This window comes from Homo sapiens, chromosome 1, assembly GCF_000001405.40.
Source record: "Homo sapiens chromosome 1, GRCh38.p14 Primary Assembly".
NCBI classification, from domain to species: domain Eukaryota; kingdom Metazoa; phylum Chordata; class Mammalia; order Primates; family Hominidae; genus Homo; species Homo sapiens.
In genome coordinates, this window is record NC_000001.11 from 100,382,387 (window position 1) to 100,403,985 (window position 21,599).

At 38.0% G+C, this 21,599-nt stretch overlaps 1 protein-coding gene and 1 pseudogene across 6 annotated transcripts in view; one reads left to right on the forward strand and one right to left on the reverse strand.

The window, feature by feature from the left end:
- The window catches only part of CDC14A (cell division cycle 14A), a 175,277-nt gene that overhangs the window by 37,386 nt on the left and 116,292 nt on the right, over nt 1-21,599 (forward strand). For all 6 annotated transcript variants that reach the window (NM_001319211.2, NM_001319210.2, NM_003672.4 and 3 more), the window contains exon 4: nt 8,346-8,438. In NM_001319211.2, the coding sequence (NP_001306140.1) occupies nt 8,346-8,438 (93 nt within the window). The remainder of the gene's footprint in view (nt 1-8,345; nt 8,439-21,599) is intronic.
- Nucleotides 10,450-11,272, reverse strand: BCAS2P2 (BCAS2 pseudogene 2; annotated as a pseudogene).

The window sequence follows — 21,599 nt, forward strand, 5'->3', positions numbered from 1 at the left end:
ACTATTTTTTTTTTTTTTTTTTTTTAGTTTTTGTAGAGGCAGGGACACACTATGTTGATCAGGCTGGTCTTGAACTTCTGGGCTTAAGCTAGCTTCCCGCCTGAGCCTCCCAAAGTGGTGGGATTACAGGCATGAGCCACTGTGCTTGGCCGTCAATACAGTTTTAATTATTGATTTCATTTTCCTCTGAGAAAAATAAAACCTGAGCTTGGAGAAAAAAAAAGTCTCTGAAAAAAGGGGACATTTTCTAGGGCAGTGGTTTTTCTTTTTTTTAATACCTGCTGTTATGAATCAACAGGATAATTACAGTAATCTTGAGGACTATTTTAAAAAAGGATTAAAGGAGTATTCACAGAAATGTAATTTTAAATTTACAAAACATCCCATATAGCCCTTTCAGGGTAAAAGGGGAAGTGGGTGGGTATCATGAAACCAACCATTATATTGAAGCATTGGAAGTACCTGGCAGATGGTGGGGCTTAGGGAATGTCCTTGTTGCTGAATGAATCAGTGCCATAATCCTATCCTGTAAACCAGGCACCTGCCACCCTATCGGGGGTTATATACACCAGAACTCTTTTGATGTAATGACTAGACCACCCTATTATAACTACAAAAACATGTTGAGATTTCTTCATGTGGTTCTTTTCTGTTTCTGGCTCATAGGTTTGTGGGGAAGAAAAGCAAGCTACATTCTGGAGATAGTTCATGTAGTTTAAAGAGGTTCTAGGGGCTCCAAAGCAATGTCAACTCCCATAGGAGCGAGCATATACCGAGTTTGCAAGGCAAGAACCCCTTATGCCTGTTAGGAATCCTCAGGCAGGAAGAACCCCGTTTATAGAGAATCCCACGTGCCTTCAATTATTGATTATTAACACGATGAAATCATCTTCATGAGCAACTTTTCTCTGACATTTTGACTTCTGCTTTAATCAAATGTGCCATTTCATTAATGAAATGTATTGGGTTTGAAACAAAGTGGGCCACACAGAGACACCTTTTTCTTTTTAAAGAAATGATTCGATCTATTTCATCTTGGCACTAAATAAAAAACATAAACCATATTTTGTTTTGTACAGCCAAAGAACATTTTCCAGAGTATTCCTTTCCTGAGAAAGTTGGAGGTAAAACTTGTAAAGGTCATGGCTGCTCACAGGAAGACCTGCTCATTTTATCGCTTTTGCAGTGAGATGACCACTGATTGCTATGGAGATGCTGATTGCTGCGGCCATTACTGGGCTAGCCTAGCCACCTGTAAGAGAATGATGCCTTGGTCATTGCGGTCCCTGTGCTGTGATCTCCTTAATATGACCATGATCATTGACAGAACTTGCATGTTTAGGAGGTGCATGGGCTCTATTTTTATTAAAGAGCATATTATCCAGGCTGCATTAATGTCTTCCTTAGCTCAGTCAGACTGATTCATACAGCTTAATTAAATACAGCATTCTAACCAAATAACTTGAAGATTTTACTTTTCTGTGTTTCTTTAAATTGACCTTTAACTCTTTTTTTTTTTTGGCTTTGGCTTTGAGCCTAATTGCATCACCTTTTGTTATTGAATGGTTAAGTAGTTTGTGCTCTCCTGACTGAAGCTGAACAAGTGCATGATTTGTGTTTGTTGCCATAATCCAAGTGTAGCCTGAGCTATTTGTTATTTGTGCAGCTTGTCATTATTTTTTTCTCTCTCCAAGTTGCTGTGGCTTGTGTTTTACAAGGAGTGATCCCACTAGAATATAACCTTTCACATAGCTTTTCTTTCCAAGATAGAAAATGTCTGGGGTCAATACCCTTATCTTAATTTGTATTGTTCTATCATAGCAGTCATTGTACTTTGGTTTATAAGTACCATTAAGTATTTATGATATACACTTATGATTTACATAACAGGGGCAAAACTTTGACTCTCAGGTAAGCAATACAGAAATTTCTATAGGTTTGATTATGTTAATTGATAGTCAATACTAAATTCCACCTTTTATCTACTATATTTTTTCCTTGTTAAATGAAACACTTACTGTACCTGTAATTAGTATCATTTTATTGGTCCTTGTGTGCTGTAAATGCATCCTATACAGTTATTCTCCTCTGTTTTTAATAAGCCTTGGCCAATATTTTGCATTAAATATTCATTAGCCTTTGAGGTTAGAGAGTGGGTTTCTTCTCCCCTTGTCACTGCATTGCTCAGCAAAGTGTTTGACACACAACAGCTACTCAATTCATGCTGATGGAACCCATAGAACCTTCTTCAGCCGCAGTATCCTGGCACCCAGATTTAGCAAATTGGTCACCTGTGGCCTGCATTCTGTCCACAGACATGTTTTCTTGAGCTTAAACACTGTTTAAAAAATTTTAATTCATAGTCAACATCTGCAGTTTATGAAAGCTTCAATTTTGTCTTCTTTTAAATATTGCAGTATCTGACCATTCTGCACCCAGATTCCCTCACAAGAGCAGTAGGTTGGAGCTTACTGCACTTTGGATAGGGAATGCTTTTCTTATTTACCAGCTGCCCCACTTCAGATTCTTGGCACCTGAGAACATCTGAATTTGGAACTTCTGGAATAATGACATTTAAGGCAGCTTAATTACGGAATCATTAAAGGGACTTGTTCCTAAGGTGTTATCACCTGGAATGCATGAATTTACAAATTGTAATAAGGTTTGCTGAGGAATCTGGGGAAATGTGTTTTTTGTAAAATGCTTTTAAAAGGCTTATTGCATGATTTAGAATTCCTTTTTAAGAGAATGTAGAGTTCTTTCGAGACTACTTGACCAGATGGACAGTGTTTTAGCTTCATATAAAAGATTCCCAGGGGTGGGACCAGTTACATGTTTATGTAGTGCTTCTCCAAAATTTAGCCATATCTTAGAGTAGTGGATTTCAATGTGTGGTGTCTGGACCAACAGTGTCAGCATTACTGGAAAACCTGTTAGAAATGTAAATTCTCAGGCCCTACTGAATCAGAAATTCTGGAGGTGAGACCCAGCAATCTGTGTTTTAATAAGCCCTGCAGGTGATTCTGAACCAATCTGTTAAGAGAATGAAATATAATACAATAATAATATAATGTGGTTTAGAGTTAGATTTAGTTATTTCTGAAAAGTCTTAGTACTATTGACCAATTCAACCTGAGAATTATTCAAATTCTGAAGCATGAAACTTGTTATGGCCTCATAATTAAGATTTACACAAATTATCAGGCTCTGTGAGAAAGTTTTGGACTGATCCTGCTTACTACTCTTACTGTGTAAATGTTCGTCAAAGGCCCTCTCTGACTCTGGGCTTATGTTCTCCTTGTAAAACACAGTGTGCTCATTATATTTTAGCCTTGCCCAGGACCCCTAGTCTGGGAGACGTTATGTGTCTGATTAAACTGGACCCCTCTGGTGCCATTCCTATTGCTTTGGATAATGGTGGAATGTCACAAGTGAGCAATAAATGCGAGCTGTTGTTGCGGTTATTATAGAGGGCTGGCTATGTCCACTTCAGTTTAGAAAGTTCAGAAGGGTATTTGCTTTGTAATCCCCGCACTTTGAGAGGTCGGGGTGAGCAGATCACTTGAGGTCAGGAGTTCAAGACCAGCCTGGCCAACATGGTGAAACCCCATCTCTACTAAAAATACAAAAATTAGCCAGGCGTGGTGTCACCTGCCTGTAGTCCCAGCTACTCAGGAGGCTGAGGCATGAGAATTGCTTGAACCTGGGAAGTGGAGGTTGCAGTGAGCCAAGATCATGCCACTGTATTCCAGCCTGGGTGACAGAGTGAGATAGTATTTAAAAAAAAAAAAAAGAAGAGTATTTGTTCCAGTTTCAAGATAGAAATCTAAAACATAAGGTGGATAGTGGCTGGCTGCAGATTGTGATTTGTAATGGGTCATGTGCTGTGCTGCTACAGAGCTGGCAAATAGTCCAGAGGTCTCAGTATTCTTTCTGTGACCCTCTCTATTTTATATTTACACTGTATTTATTGGAATTGACCAATTTTAAACTTCACTTTGCTATGGCATACAGTGTTTTTGTAACCTGTGAGCTTCTTGTGTAAAGCAGAAAATAATCTGTAATAGAGCAGGTAGCTCATTGAAAGCCTGTGGCTATGATGTAACCTTGCAAGTGTTCTCCTTGAAGGGCCCACTCATCATATTTGCTTTGTAATCCCTGCACTTTGGGAGGCTGGGGTGAGCAGATCACTTGAGGTCAGGAGTTCAAGACCAGCCTAGCCAACATAGTGAAACCCCATCTCTACTAAAAATACAAAAATTAGCCAGGCATGGTGACACCTTCCTGTGGTCCCAGCTACAGAGGAGACAGACCAGAGTAAGGAAGAGGCCACTGTCCAATTTAGAGGCATGATATTCTCCTGATATTAGGGCAGAATCTGAGAAAACATTGACTGGGCTCATACATAGAGTCCTGTCCTATTGTCTCCAAACTGTGACTTTGTCTGCATGGTAAAGTTCTTCCATGAAAGATCTCAAAAGAGAAGTTAATGTTCCATAGAAGGTACTTCAATCATCGATGTCTCCACTGGGTGTTAGTATTGCTTCTTCTAGGGTGCTTTGATTATGTAATAGTATTTTTTAAGTGGGGGACATGCTTAAAATTTGAGAGGAAAAAACATTAAAGAGTTTTTTTTTTTTAAATCAGCCCACTCATATAAAACATCAGCTAAACAACGGACAAAATATTTTGTTACCCCTCAAATTTTTATTCCAATACCAAAGTATCTTCTCTGTTGAACAGCATCACTGGTAGAAAACTGTGGGCCAGGATGACCATAAGAGGGAGGCCCAGTTGTGAAAAGGAAAGACATTAGCAAAAGGCCTAATTTTGATATTAGCAAATTTGAGATTAATTAGAAAATTAATTAGGAAATTAGGACAAGGTCTAATTTTGAGATTAGTAGATTTTTCTCTGCTCTCATTAACTTTGAATTCGTTTTGATTCCTCGAGTGAGAGAACTCACCTCTCAGTGATTTGACCTCGGAGATGCTGGCCAAGCTTCGCTAAGCAGGAAATCATTTCTTGGCTGGTGTGCTTTTGAAACTTAACCGAGGAAACTGAATTCCAAAAATACCTAAGCAAAGTAAATGCTAGCAGCTTTAAACATTTTCCTAAAAATCAGGCAGAAAGCTCTAAAAAGAAGTCAGTTATGTTTGCTTCCTGTGGGGAGTTTCTCATAGGAAATATTTTAAAATAAAGTTTCTAGGAAGATTTTGTGAAGATCATTCTCTATCTGATGTAATTTATGAAAGCTTATAAAGTTTAAGCATTCTTCTAAAATCTTTAAAGTGTTAATTTGTATTATATTTACTTAAATAATATTTATAGCTATACAGTGAAAAGAAAGTCTTCCTCAGAGTTCTGTCCTTTAGTTTTATGGCTCATGTTCCAGGATAAGTCTCTGTATTCTATATACTTTAGAATGCGAGAGAGAAAAAACGAAACCAAGTAAACACAAAAGATTCTACTCCCCCCAACCCCCTCCAAAAAAACCCAAGGAAGAAATAAGCATCAGTGATGAAAGAACAGCACTATAACTTGTCCCTTTCAGCAAGTAGATTTGTAAAATAAATACAGTTTCACATTATTAACCAATAGCAGTAGTTTGTCATAAAACCTAAATTCTTAGTAGAAAAGAGCATCAAAAATGATAATCCAGACTTGAAGATAGACTGTTGATATTTTCTTCCCCACAGGTATTTTAGGGAATTAGGAAATGTAAATAGGGAGAGGCTGGGAGCCATAAGAGCGTCGAGTCCCTATGCTCAGTCTGACTCATGTTTATTGAGAGCCTGGCCTGTGTAAGGCAGTATTTAGATATTTGCAATTCAGAGATGATAGGAGATGCTTAGGTCTGAAGAGCCTTTATTTCCTTTTTGGTAAATCAAACATAACTTATTGATGGGGAACAAATAAGTGGCAAAACCAACCAACCACCCAACAGACAATGAGACAATGAAATAAAACAGAAAAAGGCAATGTTCAGGCAGTCAGTAGTTCCAAATTGAGAAAGCAAAGAATCAAGTGTCAGCACCATTGGTTGTAACCTTTACATCCCTAGGTAACTTCAATGCATCAACTCAACTGAGCTGAATTAAATGCTGTGCCTTTGTTCTCTCTTTATTTCATAGGAGTATTTGTATAAACCTGTCAGGAAATAAGGGCATTGGCAATAAGATACTTTCTTTGAGTCAAATACTAATTTTTTTTGTTTGATTTTTGTTTGTTTGTTTTTGAGACAAATTCTTGTTCTGTTGCCCAGGCTGTACTGCTGTGGTGTGATCATGGCTCACTGCAGCCTCCATCTCCTGAGCTTAAGTGATACTCCTATCCAGTCTTTTTGTAGAGATGAGGTCTTACTATGTTGCCTGGGCTAGTCTCAAATTCCCAGCCCTAAGTGATTCTCCTGCTTTGGCCTCTCAAAGTGTTGGAATTACAGGCATGAGCCATCACACCTGGCCTTACATACTAATTTTTAAAAGTTTAATAAAAAGGGCACTACTGGCTGGGTGTTGTGGCTCATGCCTGTAATCTCAGCACTTTGGGAGGCCAAGGCAGGTGGATCACTTAAGCCCAGGAGTTCGAGACCAGCCTGGACAACATGGTAAGACCTCACCTCTACGAAAAATACAAATATTTGCCAGGCATGGTGGCATGTGCCTGTGGTCCCAGCTACTCAGGAGGCCGAGGTGAGAGGATCGATTGAGGCTGAGAGGTCAAGGCTGCAGTGAGCCAGATCATGCCACTGCGCTCCAGCCTGGGTGCTGGGTGACAGAGCAAGACCCTGTCTCAAAAAAAAAAAAAAAAAAAAAAGGTAAAAGATAAAAGGGTACAGCCATTTTCAGATAATGTGATTCTAGGAGTTCGAGACCAGCCTGGCCAACATGGTGAAACTCTGTCTCTACTAAAAATACAAAAATTAGCCGGGCGTGGTTGTGGGTGCCTGTAGTCCCAGCTGCATGGGAGGCAAGAGAATGGCTTGAACCTGGGAGGCGGAGGTTGCAGTGAGCCGAGGTTGCGCCACTGCACTCCAGCCTGGGTGACAAAGCGAGAATCTGTCTCAAAAAAAAAAAATATATATATATGTGTATATATATATATGATTTTTGGTTATAAAAGAAATGCCTGACTTGGAGTGAAGATTTCCTGGCTCATTGGAGGGATACACTTTCTGTGGTTACATGGTAAAGCCAGAGTGTTGCAGTTTCATCTTAGAACGGGCTTCAGAGATGGAAGAGTTTTTTTTTAATTTGTAGACAATAGCAGGATCAAGAAAAGTACATAGTTGAGCTCTATTTACCTTTTTTAAAGAGGTTCTAAAAGCAGGGATTTTCTGTGTGTTGTAGTCAATGTATAAGATAGAAAAAGCTGCTTTTATAGTCAATGTGAATTTATAGACAAATACTGAAATGTACTTTTGTGCCTGTGTTTTTTTTGCTAGCTCATTAAAGACAGTTTATGTACCTATATTTAGAAAATCAATTGTCAAAATACATAAATTTTGAAAAGTGAGGAAATCAAGCAGATTTCATTGAGTTACATTGTGTTCTCATTGTCTTATACTTATTCGAGTTTTGATTAATAATTTGATTTCATTTTACCAGATCTTTTTGTCATTTCTTTTCATGTTTAGCATGTGTACAACATACCATGTTGATTATTTTGAACTTAGTTAAATACTTGAGCATGCAGCATATTGCCTGGCATATAACAGGTGCTTAATAACTGTCTGAATTCATGAATTTAATAGATGGCTATTGTAATGTGTTGTATTAAGATGTTTGCTGATATAATTTTTTAATGGTATTTTTCCATTAACCAAGTATTTTCAGATATTAAAAGGGGGTTGTTATATAACATCCCAGAAATAAAATACTAATATTGGTCTTCAAAAATACGATTTTTTGGAGATCATAGTAAACTGGTTGACATTTTAAAAAATTGTGTTATATGAAAACTATAGATAATATTCCTGGGAGTTGGAGTGGCATGTAGGGGGTAACAAAGTGTGAAGAGACTTTCTGTAGAAGATTTAGAATAAATAGTCAAAAATGTTTCCAGTTAATAGAGATGCCAATATTTTAATTATTTTCCACCATATTAGTTTCTTTTCTGGGAGAGAAAGATATTAATTATATTGTTGATTCTTACATTATGATTGGGCTGTACAAAATCTGAGCTAGTAATTCTCTAACCCTCAAATGCCATAGAAATTAAAGTTGAAAGTTGTTAAATTTTATGGGTTGTAGCACATCTTGAAGGTTAAGAGATGATGTTTGCCTTCTGTATATGTTAACTTTGTCTCTATGGTTACACTAACTCTTTTTATCTCCTCTTTCTAGTCATACAGTTTGTCAAGAAAGAAAATAGTGCACTACACCTGTTTTGACCAACGGAAAAGAGCAAATGCAGCATTTTTGATAGGTGCCTATGCAGTAAGTACCTTCTTCATGATTATTTTCTATAATCAGGCCAGTGAAATGCTAACACTGTCAAAGAAAATCCAAACCAGTTTTTCAGTGGGATTGAGAGACGGTGGAGATTATTAGCAGTTTGGGAATTGATCTGTAGTGAGAAATATGGACTAGCAGTGGTGGAATGTTTACTCTTTAGATTTTATTTTCTACTAGTTAATGAGAGAATCTTGAAACTGCAATATGTAGCTTGAATTCCACAGTTATATAGGTATTTTAATAAAAAGAATACCTACCAAGGACATTTCTAGGAAAAAAAAATGTGTGTGTGCATGTGTGTATGTTTAAATGCATGAAATATGATATTATGGAAGATTTTAAAAGACTTGACGTGTTCGTTTTTTGGGAGAAGAGGAAACCTTAGATTGCACAGGGGAGGATTGTTATTATTTTTATCAATCCATTCATTAATTTATACAATTGTTTGCAGTAGGCAAACTGAATATAAATCCTGCATATATTATAGCTTCCCTAATAACTACAAGAGACTTTTCCAAAACTAATTTCAATTAGAAATTTTGTTCTCTGCAGACACTAACATGTCAGTATGAATTCCACATGACCATGCTGTAGAGTTTTAGGTGGTGATTCTGGAATTTTCTATATATGCTGTGATTGGGCAAAAGCTTAGAAAGCAGAAACCATCAGAGCTAAAACATACTTGCAGGGATATGTGTGATATCAGCTGGGAATATGCTGGTTTAAAGGCAGGGAGCAGAGAGGTATCATTTCCCCTCATCCTTGGGGAGGGCTCGTGCTCCTCTGAAGCCATGGAAGCAACCCTGCTGAGTGACTTTTCAAGGGCCTCATTCTAAGGACCTTGAGGGAAGAGGGCACCAGCTACTAGACCTCAAACTCTGCCCCATCAACCCAAAAGCTCTAGGGGAAAAAGCCCAGCAGTATTGCTGGAAAAGCTGTCAGCTATTGCAGGGTGCAGGCTGAGAAGAGTGGCAGACTGTCAGCCAGGCTGTGGGCTGGGGCCTTGCTTGTAGCACTGAGGTGCCCAGCCCTGCCCACCTTTTGTCCCTTGATGTAGCTGCAATAAACCCTTGGCCTACCCCTTGTGGCAGCATTCTTTCTTGCTCTGTAGATAGCATGGTATAGTACAAGGAATAGTGTCTAAGAGTCAGAAAACATGTTTTTCATCTTGAAGGGCTCTGTGATGATGCACTTTATCTCTCTCAGCTTTATTTAGTTTCCTTATCCGCAAAATGAGAGGGTTGGATGTAATGACCCCTACATTTCCTTTCAGTTCTTAGGATACTGAGAGTATTTGTAGTGCCAGCCAGGCTATTGCTTTTATTTTAAGAGCATACATGAAAAGCTGGCAGTTAGCATGAAGGTTCAGTGAAGTTCTGGTAAGCTGAATATTTTTTACCTTACATTGATAATGACTACTCATTTGAAATTGATGATTGACACTGTGATTGAAATATGGAAAAAGACTGTACTAATTTCTGGATTCAAGCCCTGTAAACAAACGTGTTTTTCCTGCAGGGTTTTGTGATGCTTTGTAAGCGTGTTATTTGTGGATCCTTTCTCATAAAGGATTGCCATCAAGAAGAGGTCATTTGCCACTCTTCGCACGTCTTTCTTTTTTTTTTTTGTGAGGACCAAATGATTTTTATTCATATTCGTCTGGTTTATCTACCCAAAGTGTTCAGGACAGTGTTCAGCACATATTAAGCTTGATATAGCAGTTATCTATGATGATGATGGTAACGATGACTCTGTATAGTCACTGTGTTTCTGAGGTCTTGTTTGGTAATCAAGAATGTGTTTAGAACTATCTCTTTATTAGACAAGGTAATAAACCAAAAGTTTCCAACTTCCTGTACATGTTGAAAGTTTTGAATAAAGATCCTTGGATACAAAACATGGCCCACATGGCTCAAAATTAATTCTGTGACATAATATTATTCTGAAGTCATACTTATTTTGAAAGCCTAAAGGTTTTTCTTTTTTATGGCTATAAAAATATCACCAAGCTAGACATTTTAATTCTGTTGAGATATACAAATAGAATTACCGCAGCAGCCCACACATTCTATGATTTCTAAACATTTAAACATCAATGGTTTTGGGAAGTTGCTGTTGTCCTTAACAGTTCATTAAAAGTTCAGATGCCTTTTGTGAGAGCCCAACTTTTCTACCCGCGAAATTGTCTTTTCAGAAGTCTTGCCGGATGTTTTCTTTGTTTGCCTTTCCATGTTGCTGTTTAATTTGATAGATTTCATTTTCTAGTTGAAAAATAGTCCGTTCAGTCTCATAATTCTTACTACAGATATCCAATTTGACTCCATTTCTCTCAATTTAGATCCAGCTGTGAGTTGCATGTTCTTTCTCTGCCAGTTTAAATCTTGAATATGTTTTCTTAACTTCTGAAGTTCTTTCTGTGCATGTTCAATCATATGAACTAGATTTTCATTGTATACTTTCCAGGCATTACATCCATGCTGTGACATTAGTTTCAGATTCTCAGTTGTAACTGCTTGATGCTCTAACTAGGCCATAGAATTGTTTACACATTCTTGCCATGCAGTAATGCCATTTTTTTGACCAGAGGAAGGGGCTGGAAGTTCATATCGTTTCATACTGAGCAATTCAGTTGGTTGTCGAGCAGCCAGTCTCTCAAATTCATTTCTCATCATGTCAGTTTCAAAAGCAGAATAATCCAGGACTGTCAGGTATCTCAGGTAGTTCATAGTAGGTTGGTATCTGCGAGTTTACTTCTCCACCAGCACTGCAGCTGCTTCCTGCACACCAGAGGCTTCATAACCTTGATCAAAATATGGATCAAGTGGTCAATATCAATCAAGCGGTGGCACACGACTGTAATCCCAGCACTTTGGGAGGCTGAGGCGGGCGGATCACAAGGTCAAGAGACGGAGACCATCCTGACCAACATGTCTCTACTAAAAATACAAAAATTAGCTGGGCGTGGTGATGCGAGCCTGTAGTCCCAGCTACTCGGGAGGCTGAGGCAGGAGAATCGCTTGAACCCAGGAGTGGGAGGTTGCAGTGAGCCAAGATTGCGCCACTGCACTCCAGCCTGGCTACCCAGCGAGACTCTGTTCCCCCTCCCCACCGCAAAAAAAAATATATATATATATAGCAGTGCATCCACCTCAACCTCTCCAGCCACCAAACCTGTGCCTGCCATTCTGGGGACCTCAGGTTTGCCCTACTCTTCTCATTTCTTTACCCCTTTTTCCCTCCCTTGCATCTTCTCTCTCTTCTTTCCTTACTTATTTATTTATTTATTTATTGAGACTGAGTCTTGCTCTGCCCCACAGGCTGCAGTGCACTGGTGCGATTGTAGACCATTGTATCCTCAGACTCCTGTGCTCAAGCGATCCTCCTGCCTCAGCCCTCCCTAGAAGGTGGGACTGCAGGTGTGTGCCACCACAGCCAGCTAATTTCATTTTATTTTTGTAGAGACAGTGCCTTGCTTTGTTGCCCAGCCTGGCTTCAGGACTCCTGGCCTCAAGTGATCCCCCTGCTCTGGCCTCCCAAAGTGCTGGGATTACAGATGTGAGACACCACACCCAACCTCTTCTTTCCTTTTTAACACCTATTCTTCCTGTTTTGTTTAGTGTGGTTCTTCATTTTAGCAGGGTGCCTCTAGAACTTTGAAAGGATTAAATTAGATGCGTTGAGCTTGTCACAAAATACTCTGTGACAAAATATGTCTTCTGATGGAGAAGTTTCCACCACTTTAAAGCAACCAAAAGGGGAAAAAGCAGTCCTAGCATGGTGGAAGAAGTGCTGAGTACAGCATGAGCTTGTCTTACACACTAGTTACAGTCTTGAGAAGCAGTGTGAAGTGATTATTCTTGAACTGGTCATGTCCCAATTGATTTTTCTAATTTTGTAACTGTATTCCCCAGAGGGCTTTTTGACACAAACCCTTAATACACACGGAACTAAAAATTGGCAGTGGATCCTTAAAGAGAATTTTATGCCTTTCTTCGTATTGTTTGTATGTATTTACTTGTTGACAGTCTTGTAAGATAGTCAATAATATCCATTATACATATATCTCAGTTAAAATTTACATATATTAAATGTTGCTAGTTGGATAAGTGTCCGTTTTCTGGGGGAATCTTCTCTGGATACAAAAGACCTTTACCTTCGGAGCAGCCATGTAACTTACATGAGGCAAGCTAGGTAGGTAGGTATATTTTATCAAACAGAAGTCTTTAAGAGTGAAGGTGTTCCTGTTCCTAAAATGTGGAATCGGCCCTCTGTTAAGTGGCATTGACTGACTAATAAAAGTATTTTGTACTAAGACAAACCTTTTTCTCAAAGCCTTAGTTTTCTCATTTGTAAAATTTGGATAATACCTGAGTTTCCTTATCTGCTTCACAGGATTATTGTAAAGATCAAATATCCAACTGCCTGTTTGATAGCTCCATATTATACATCTAAATGATACCTCAAATTTATTGTGACAAAACAGAAGTTTTTATTCCTTCTCTCCCTAAATGTATTTATTTCCCAAGTCATTCCCTTTTTAGTAAGTGGACTACCATCAGTGACTTGCTAAATCAAAAGAGTAGTCATTTTGATTTCTTTTGTTCGCTCATCCCACATTCTACTTATTCGTAAGTTTGGTCAGCTCTACCTCTAAAACATATTGAATCAGAATGTATCTTTCCATCTCTGTTGCTATCACCTAGCCCAAGCCACTGTCATTGTTCACCTGGATTATGACCACAGCTTTATATGTTGTCTCCTTTTTATATTCTTGCTTCCCATTAATTTAGTTGCCATACAACTGTCAGAGTAGTCTTTTAAAATTGTAAATTAGATCACGTCATTACCCTGTTTCAAATCTGTTATTGCTCACTGATCTTGGCATAAAATTTATCCTTACCAATGCCATTAAGATCCTTTCTGATCTGACCCTCTCTACCTCTGTGGTCTCCTTGCTCAAGTTGCTCCCCTCATGCTGGACTTCTAACTGAAATTCCATGCTTGTTCCTACCAAAGAGCCTTGATATTTCTGTTCTATCTGGAATGTTCTTACTTCAGACCTCTGCATGCCTGGCTCTTTCTAATGTTACTTTCTCAGAGAGATTTTCTCTTAATTTCTACCCTGTTACCTCCACCCCTAGTCATCCTTTAGACCTTTGTTGCTTTATTTTCTTTACAGCATGCTACTATTTGAAATTACTTTGTTTATGCATTTACTTGCTTATTATCTCTTTCCCAGACTAGAGGGTAAGGACTTTATCTGTTTTGTTCGTCGCTGTGTGTGGAGGGTGATAAAATATTTAACAAGGGGTTAGGCCGGGTATTCACCCGTTGAGTTGGAAGCTGGGACAGGGTCCTGGAGGCTTCTTGCTTTGCTGAATCTTGGGGAAGTCTAGGGCCTAGGGGGTGGGCGTGGGTCCCAAGGAAGAGACTAGGATGGCCAGTGTGGAGTGGAGTGGTGTGCTGTGGGCTGCAGCTATTTACCAACTGGTATAGAACTATTTCAGTATTTGAACACTATCAATTTAGAGCTGTGCCTGGTATGTAATGGGTGCTCTGTAAGTATCTTTTGAGTGAATGAATAATGGGATGACAAAACATGAAAGAAAGAAGGTAATATATGGGAAACTCCTGAAAATAATGAAGTTGGACGTAAGGTATAAAGTGGTGTCTTCCCCTTTACCAGAATATTTGTAGTCATGACTGAGCCAACTTTGGTTTTTAAAGATACAGAATCAAAGTAAAGAGCATAGACCAAGGGTAGTAACAAGTATACAAAATTACATCACTACCTAGCCTTTTTTTAAAAAATAAACTTGTATTTTCCCAATTTTTTTGTGGTAAAATATACGTAACATGAAACTTGCTGTCTTAACCATTTTAAAATGTACAGCTCAGTGGCATTAACTACTTTTCAACTGTTGTGCCACAAACACCATGGCTTACTTTTGAGTGTGCCATCTTGTGGCACTTTTGGTTTCTCTGTTAGATAATGACTTCAAGTATTTCACAGCTTTTGTGTTTCTATTTCCTTATATCTAAGTGGGGGGAGACTTTTTATGCTTTCTCTCATAGAGCTGTCATAAGGATCAAAAAGGAGATAAAATATAGACCAAGCTTGTTTAACCTGCGGCTGGCTTTGAATGTGGCCTAACACAAATTCATAAACGTTCTTAAAACATTATGAGATTTTTTTTTTTTTTAAAGCTCATCAGCTATCCTTAGTGTTAGTGTATTTTATGTGTGGCCCAAGACAATTCTTCTTCTTCCAATGTGGCCCAGGGAAGCTAAATGATTAGACACCCTGATATAGACCATCATGTTCAGTGATCTTAAAGCCAGGGTTGCTGGAATGATGTGGGCACTGGAGACCACAGTGACACTTAGCAGATGCTAGGCACCCATTTTAGGGATGCCTCTACTAGTAGAGCATCTCTTCACCCCCTGCATTGTGACATTGTGCTCCTTGAGATGGAAGGCTCAGATTTAAGAAGAGACCAGCTTTGTCAGAAAGGTGTTTCCCTTCCAGGGCAACACTCAGTGCAGTTTTGAAGTTAGGATGTTTAGATCATTGTAGCATCTAAAACACTCTGATATGAGTTTGAAAAAGATGGCTTTTTAAAATTATGAGTATGAATTAATTAGGTTCTTGCCATGTGCTTAAAGACCAAGTCTTCACTAGTACCTGTGTTACTATATTGTTTTCAGTTTTGCAGGCCTAGGTCAAGGAGAATTTGGATCAGGTCACCGTGACTGAAGAATTGGAAAATAATATGTATGAGAAGATGTTAAAATAAGTGTGACTGTATAGCTTAGAAAATTAAGTTCAGAGTTAAAGAAATACAGTTTTTTTTTCTGTTATGTGGAGGATGCTTAAACAGAGGTGGTAGCCACATTATATACTTTCCTTACCCACTTGTTAAGTCTTTGCATTGCTAAATTAGAGGTCTACATTGTGGATTAACTGAGACTAGCCTGAACCAGATGTCATGTCTGAATTGGGAATAACAAGCCTGAGGTTTTTAGACTGTCTAACCATGTCTGTGTTGGCTATTTATTTTGTAGACTACACTTAAGACCTAAGTAGTTATACTCTACTGCTAAGTCTGTGACTAATTGCAAAGAAGCCATTCTCCATTTGGCTTAGTGGTTGTGAGCAATGACTTTAACATAGCCACAGGCTCACTGGGCTTTGAATCCAATTGTTAGTTGTATGCCCTGAGCAAGTTAACTTATCCAAACTCCTGTTTTTTTCATCTTTAAAATAGGCATAATAATACCCTATTTTACTTGCGGTGAGGACTGAAGGAGGTCATTTATATAAAGGTGTCATCGGTGCAGTGTCTGACGTTGTATGCACTTAGGAATGTCTGGTGGCCCTGGCAGGGAAGCTGTGTGGCCTTCCACAAAGTTTTCTGACCCAGTCTCCTACTTCCTATCACTCACTTTTGTGCGTAGACCCTTTGGGCTACCTCCCTGATGATCGGACAGCTACTTCCCCTCTTTCTGTCTGCCCATCTTCCTCTTGTCCATCATATTTTTCACTTAAATACTTCCTTGGCTCAGTAACAACACTCATATGGTTGTTAATCTGATTATTGCTTAGTATAATTCACTGGAAGGTAGGAGTATATTTCTCTCCAAGGATGTTATTTTAAGGGAATATTTTGTTTAAACCAAATGAATTTGTGAGATCTGTAGTCAGGTATTCATTAGTTCAGTAAATCTTTGTTTAGCTACTATGAGCCCTTCCTAGCACTATGGTAGGTTCTAGGGAATAAAATATATATACATATAAACAATGCCTAGCTTAAAATGTGGGACAGGTGAGCAATAAACAATTGTTTAAAGCGGGCAATAGGTACAATTGGGTAAATATGAATTTATCTAACAAATGTTTTTTTGAGGTATTTTCATGTAACAGGCCTTGTTCCTGGAGTTGAGGATACTAAGGTGAATGACTCCCTGCCTGTTGGTGTGGGTGTGGAGGGCTGGGTTCAGACCTGGAGAGAGGGGAGGTTCCAAGATGGTCAATCCCAGCAGGCCAGGTTGCTGAGGAACCATCAGACAGGGAGAATAGCATGAAGGTGATGATGCTTTTTCTGGTGGTAGGGGAGTGAAGGGAGGCTGGAAGAAAACTAGTTATTTTAAATTTTTAATTTAATTTTATTTTAAATGTCCGTTTTGAAAAGGGGATAATCTAATGAGAAGATAGGGGTGTTTTTTTCCCTTACAATTAAAAAAACTTTAAAAAGTGGAGTAACCACATTGTAGAAGAAATGTGGAAAAATTCTCTCGCAGTTCTAAACCTGAATTATTTATTAGGTGTGATTGCAGTGTAGTTTTTTGAGCCTTTTAAAATTTAGCCTATGTATGTTTTGCCATTTTGCTATTCAGGTGACCAAATAATATTTCATTTAGAGAGAATACCATTGTTTAACATTTTAGATTTCTTTCAAAATTTTTTATAATGTAACACATCTCTTTCTATATTATAAGTGTTTCTTTTCGTGGATTTTTGTCTTTAGAGTGCCAGAAATAGGGTAAATAATTTTAAATTTCAGAGTTTTTAAGACTCTTGGAGCATATTGCTATACTTAAGCAAGTTTATACTAAATTTGGTATTATGTGAAATCTCCAATTTCATGTAAACTTTGCATATTGGGTATGAACATTACAGTTTTAGAAATTTAATTGGTGAAAAATGCTACCTCATTGTTTTAGTAATCATTTTTTTGATTAATGAGGTTGATTATTCTCATGTTTTTATTTATAGATTTATTAACTGTTTGAAAACTTTGTGTTTTTATATTTGTTTCCTATATTTAGACCATTTTAGAGTGGATAAGTGCTATTAGCCTCCATTAAAAAAGTAAGTTAGCCAGGTACAGTGGTGGGAGCCTGTAGACCCAGCTACCTGGAGACTGAGGCTGGAGGATTGCTTGAGGCCAGGAGTTTGAGGTTGCAGTGAGCTGTGATCACACCACTGCACTCCAGCCCAGACCCTGACTCAAAAAAAAAAAAAAGATGAAGTCATTTTATCTGTGTCTATTTGTTTCAATAGATACAGACTACTAGAAATCATGCCCATCAGTCCAAGTTTCTGTAAAAAATTAGGAAGTCCATAGACCTTTCCTGCTGTTACTCATTAGAATGTCAGAATGCTCTATTAAATACTTCTGTATACCTGAATATAAATGTGCTTAATTGGAACTGCTGATAATGGACCTATTGATTTTTGAACATTAAGCCGTCTGCTGAGTATACAGAAATTTTAACAGAACAGTATTATTTAAAAGTGGTTACAGTGTGTGTGTTTAAATCATTGGACACTGATATACCCAGACAATTAACTGTGATTTTGTTTTTGTTTTTATTGTTTGGACCAAGTATATTATTTTGCTTATATTTTGACTCACAATTCTGTAAATTCTGATTTCAGAACTACTTTACATTGACATTAAAAAACTGTAGATTAAATAAATGTCATTTAAAATGTAGGTAAAATTATCAAAAAGTTGGTTCAAAATAATAAAGGCATTTACTTTAAATATTTATTGAACCAATAATATATTAGATGTCAGCTACTAGTGTTCTGTCATCCTTCTCTGTGGCTTGTTGGTAAATCTAACGGCAGTGTTTGCTTCTGCTTATAGAAGTTAGTGGAGAGGAAGGGAGGGGAGGCACATGGCTGGGGCTGGGCAATTTCCTGTTTGCAGTTCCTTCCTTTTGTAGTTTGATAGGCAACTCTTTTGTGATGTTGCCTGTAAATGGGCCAGTCTTTTATCTTTGTAGGCTTGTATTTTTGGTGGCTTTGAAACAGATCAGGCTCCTTAAACTCATACAGCATTTTCAATTTCAGACTCTTTGAGACTGGACATTCTGTTAGCCTTCTGCATATGGGTAGAGCAGTGTCACCTCTTAACTTTTCTTGCCTGTTTCATTTAGCTGTGGGCGAGGAAAATTAGCTGTTTGCTTTTCATTACTGGAAGATTTATCAAGTTAAGGTGCATCAATCTTTTCAGTTTTTTTTTCTTTTTTTCTTTTGGCATCCTGATAATAAACTTCCTTTGTGTTGTAAATAAGCTCTCAAATTTATATACACATACACAGCTGCACACACAGGCATACATACTCACTGCATTTAGTACTATATATTTAGTAGGGATGCACTGTGTATGCTTACAGTAATTTACTCACAAATTTCTGAATCTTATCAGTAGCTTTGGAATAACATATACTTTCTGTGTGAAGAAGCTAACATCCATTTGTTTCATTTTAGGTTGGTGCAAAAGTAATTGCGGTTTTTGCTACTTCAAACAATATATACTGAATTAAGGGGATGTACTTTTTTTTAGCACTTGAAATTATTTATTTACCAGTTTATTATCTCTCCCTTTAAGGGAAAGGACTTTGTCTTATTTTCCACAATAGCCCCAGTATCTAGAACAATGTCTGACACATCCTAAGCGTTCAATAAGTGTTTGTGAAATGAATGACTGTTTAATTGATAAATAAGTCTTGGTTGACTTCCACAGTTTTGTGGAAGTTTAATATGGAGTAATTTAAAACCTGTGATGTGCTTAAAGATAAATTATGAAGTCGGTACTAATTGTAAAAATAACAGCAAGAATCAGTGTTGCAAAGCATTAACTAATTTTCTTAAAGTTACTGAGTAAAACAAAGTGTGTTATATAGAACTGAAATGGGCTTTGTTAATACTGTACATACAAACATTTGAAATTAATATTGTGGATAATAATGTTAATTTTACTCTCAGCATTGTTTCTGTTTTTCTCAATAGGTGAAACTACTTATTTATACATATAAGTATTTGCTACTAAGTGTCAACGATTTTTTTAACAGCCATCCTTGCAGTCTCAGGATAATTTCCAGTTAAGAATTAATTCATGGGGCCGGCCACGGTGGCTCATGCCTGTAATCCCAGCACTTTGGGAGGCCAAGGTGGGCGGATCACCTGAGGTCGGGAGTTCGAGACCAGCCTGACCAACAGGGAGAAACCCCGTCTGTACTAAAAACACAAAATTAGCCAGGCATGGTGGCACATGCCTGTAATCTCAGCTACTCAGGAGGCTGAGGCAGGAGAATCACTTGAACCCGGGAGGCGGAGGTTGTGGTGAGCCGAGATCGCGCCATTGCACTCCAGCCTGGGCAACAAGAGCAGAACTCCATTAAAAAAAAAAAAGAAGTAATTCATATGCTTGAAAGAGGAATACTAGAAAATTTTTAATTAGAGTTGGATCTTGAAAATTTTTAGCTGCATGCATTCATTATGAAAAAAAAAAAAATCGGAAAGGAGGTACTCAAAGCCCTGAAGACATTATCCATTATCAGAGTGTGACTTGAAATTGTTTGCCGTGCCTGATATGAGAGCATGTTCTGTACATGTCTACCTAGGCTTCACCTGGCATTTACCCGAGTGAGGACTATCAGTGTTCCATTTTATACAAATATCTGAACAGAGCAGGCTCACATTTAGACGTATTCCCCATGCAGAGCTACAGGCTTCCAATCAATGAGATGTTTACTAGAATATATACAGAAACTGAAGGTAATTCTTTAAATTTTTTGAAAAATGAGGTTATTTGGCTGCCTGGTAATTGCAGCATGGTAAAATTTGATATTGAATGTATTTGATTGTGTTTACTGTTTTCTTTTAGTTTTAAAAATAAACATCTTAATTAGAAAAAAAAGACCCACTTTTGCAAGACTGGTGAAGTATCTCCACAGAACACTCACTAGGAAGAACCCTTCTGCAGTCCTGCTTTGTCATATTTCAGTTGGAGAATCTGAACCCAGAGAGGTCGAGTACCTTGTCCAAGATCAAACCCAGCTAATGGAGAAGGACTAGAACCCCGATCCCTAAGTTTCTAGCTGGGAGCTTTATCCAGTCATATAGCATGTCACCGAGCACTGCTGGTCTTGGTATATTATACTACATCTAAACCATAATAGTCTGCAAAAAGATTAGAAACAGCATGCAGTGTGGAAGAGTAGAATTTTCTATTTAGAAAGCAGTGTTGTAGTGTTTCAAATACACTAGTCATACAGTTTCTTTTCCAGGTAGCTTCTGAGCTTTGATTCTGGCTAATGGGGCTAACACTGCCAAAACTTTCGTGTACCAACCAGGGACAATGGTGGTTGTTCTCATGTTTACTTTGGTGATGTCCATGGATGTGTTGGGGTAGGTCTAAGTGCAAGGAGTGATAGGGGGATAAGAGAAGCAAGGAATGATATAAAGTAGGTTGGGCTGGTATCTTAGGACAGAGTTTTCCAAGCTTTATTCACTGTAATTCACCATAAGAAACACATTTTACATTGCAGCCTAGTACACACACATACACACACGCCATTCACATGTATAATTGAAACAAGAGGTTCATGAAACAATTCTTACAAGGTGTAAAGCATACTGATATTTTATATTCTGTTCTATTTTATTTAAAATATGTCTTTACCCATCAAATTGACTTCACTGCTCACTAATGGGTTGTAACCTGCAGACTGCAAAACATAGCCATTGGAGAATCTACTTACTGTGCTTAGATCCAGAAGGTTCTTGAATGTTCTTAGGGCATTGATTTTTGGCATTGAATGAGCAGGTGATTGTTTGATTGCTCTGCATCTAGGCTAGTTTGCAATTAACATGAATGGCTTAAGGAAAACTGAAAGTATTCTGAAGACTGCTCTCTCTAAACATCAAGATGCATACCTGTCTCTGGATGGTTTTTATTCAGTTGGTACTTGACTTTTTGGGAAAATCTGAGTTTGTTTTAAGCCTTCAAATAATATGATTTATCTTTTCTTATCTCACTTTCATTTGAATCACTGTGTTACCCTTAAAGCCCTCTCATACTCCTCCCTTCTTCCTGGCAACCAAAATGTGCATTGATTCAGTTTGGGAGAACCTTGATTGAGAAGCCTGTAGCTAGGTCAACGTTGTGGGCCCTGAGGAGCCAGCGCTGAGCCTGCCTTACTGGGTCTGTCATTTTAGTATCTCATTGGGCTTAGTTTCTAAGTGTGGGCTGAAAAGTTATATAATGTCCCATTCACCTCAAGACATCGAATCTTAAACCTTAGGTTTATAAGGGTTTTCTTGATTGAATAATTTTAATTTATGTA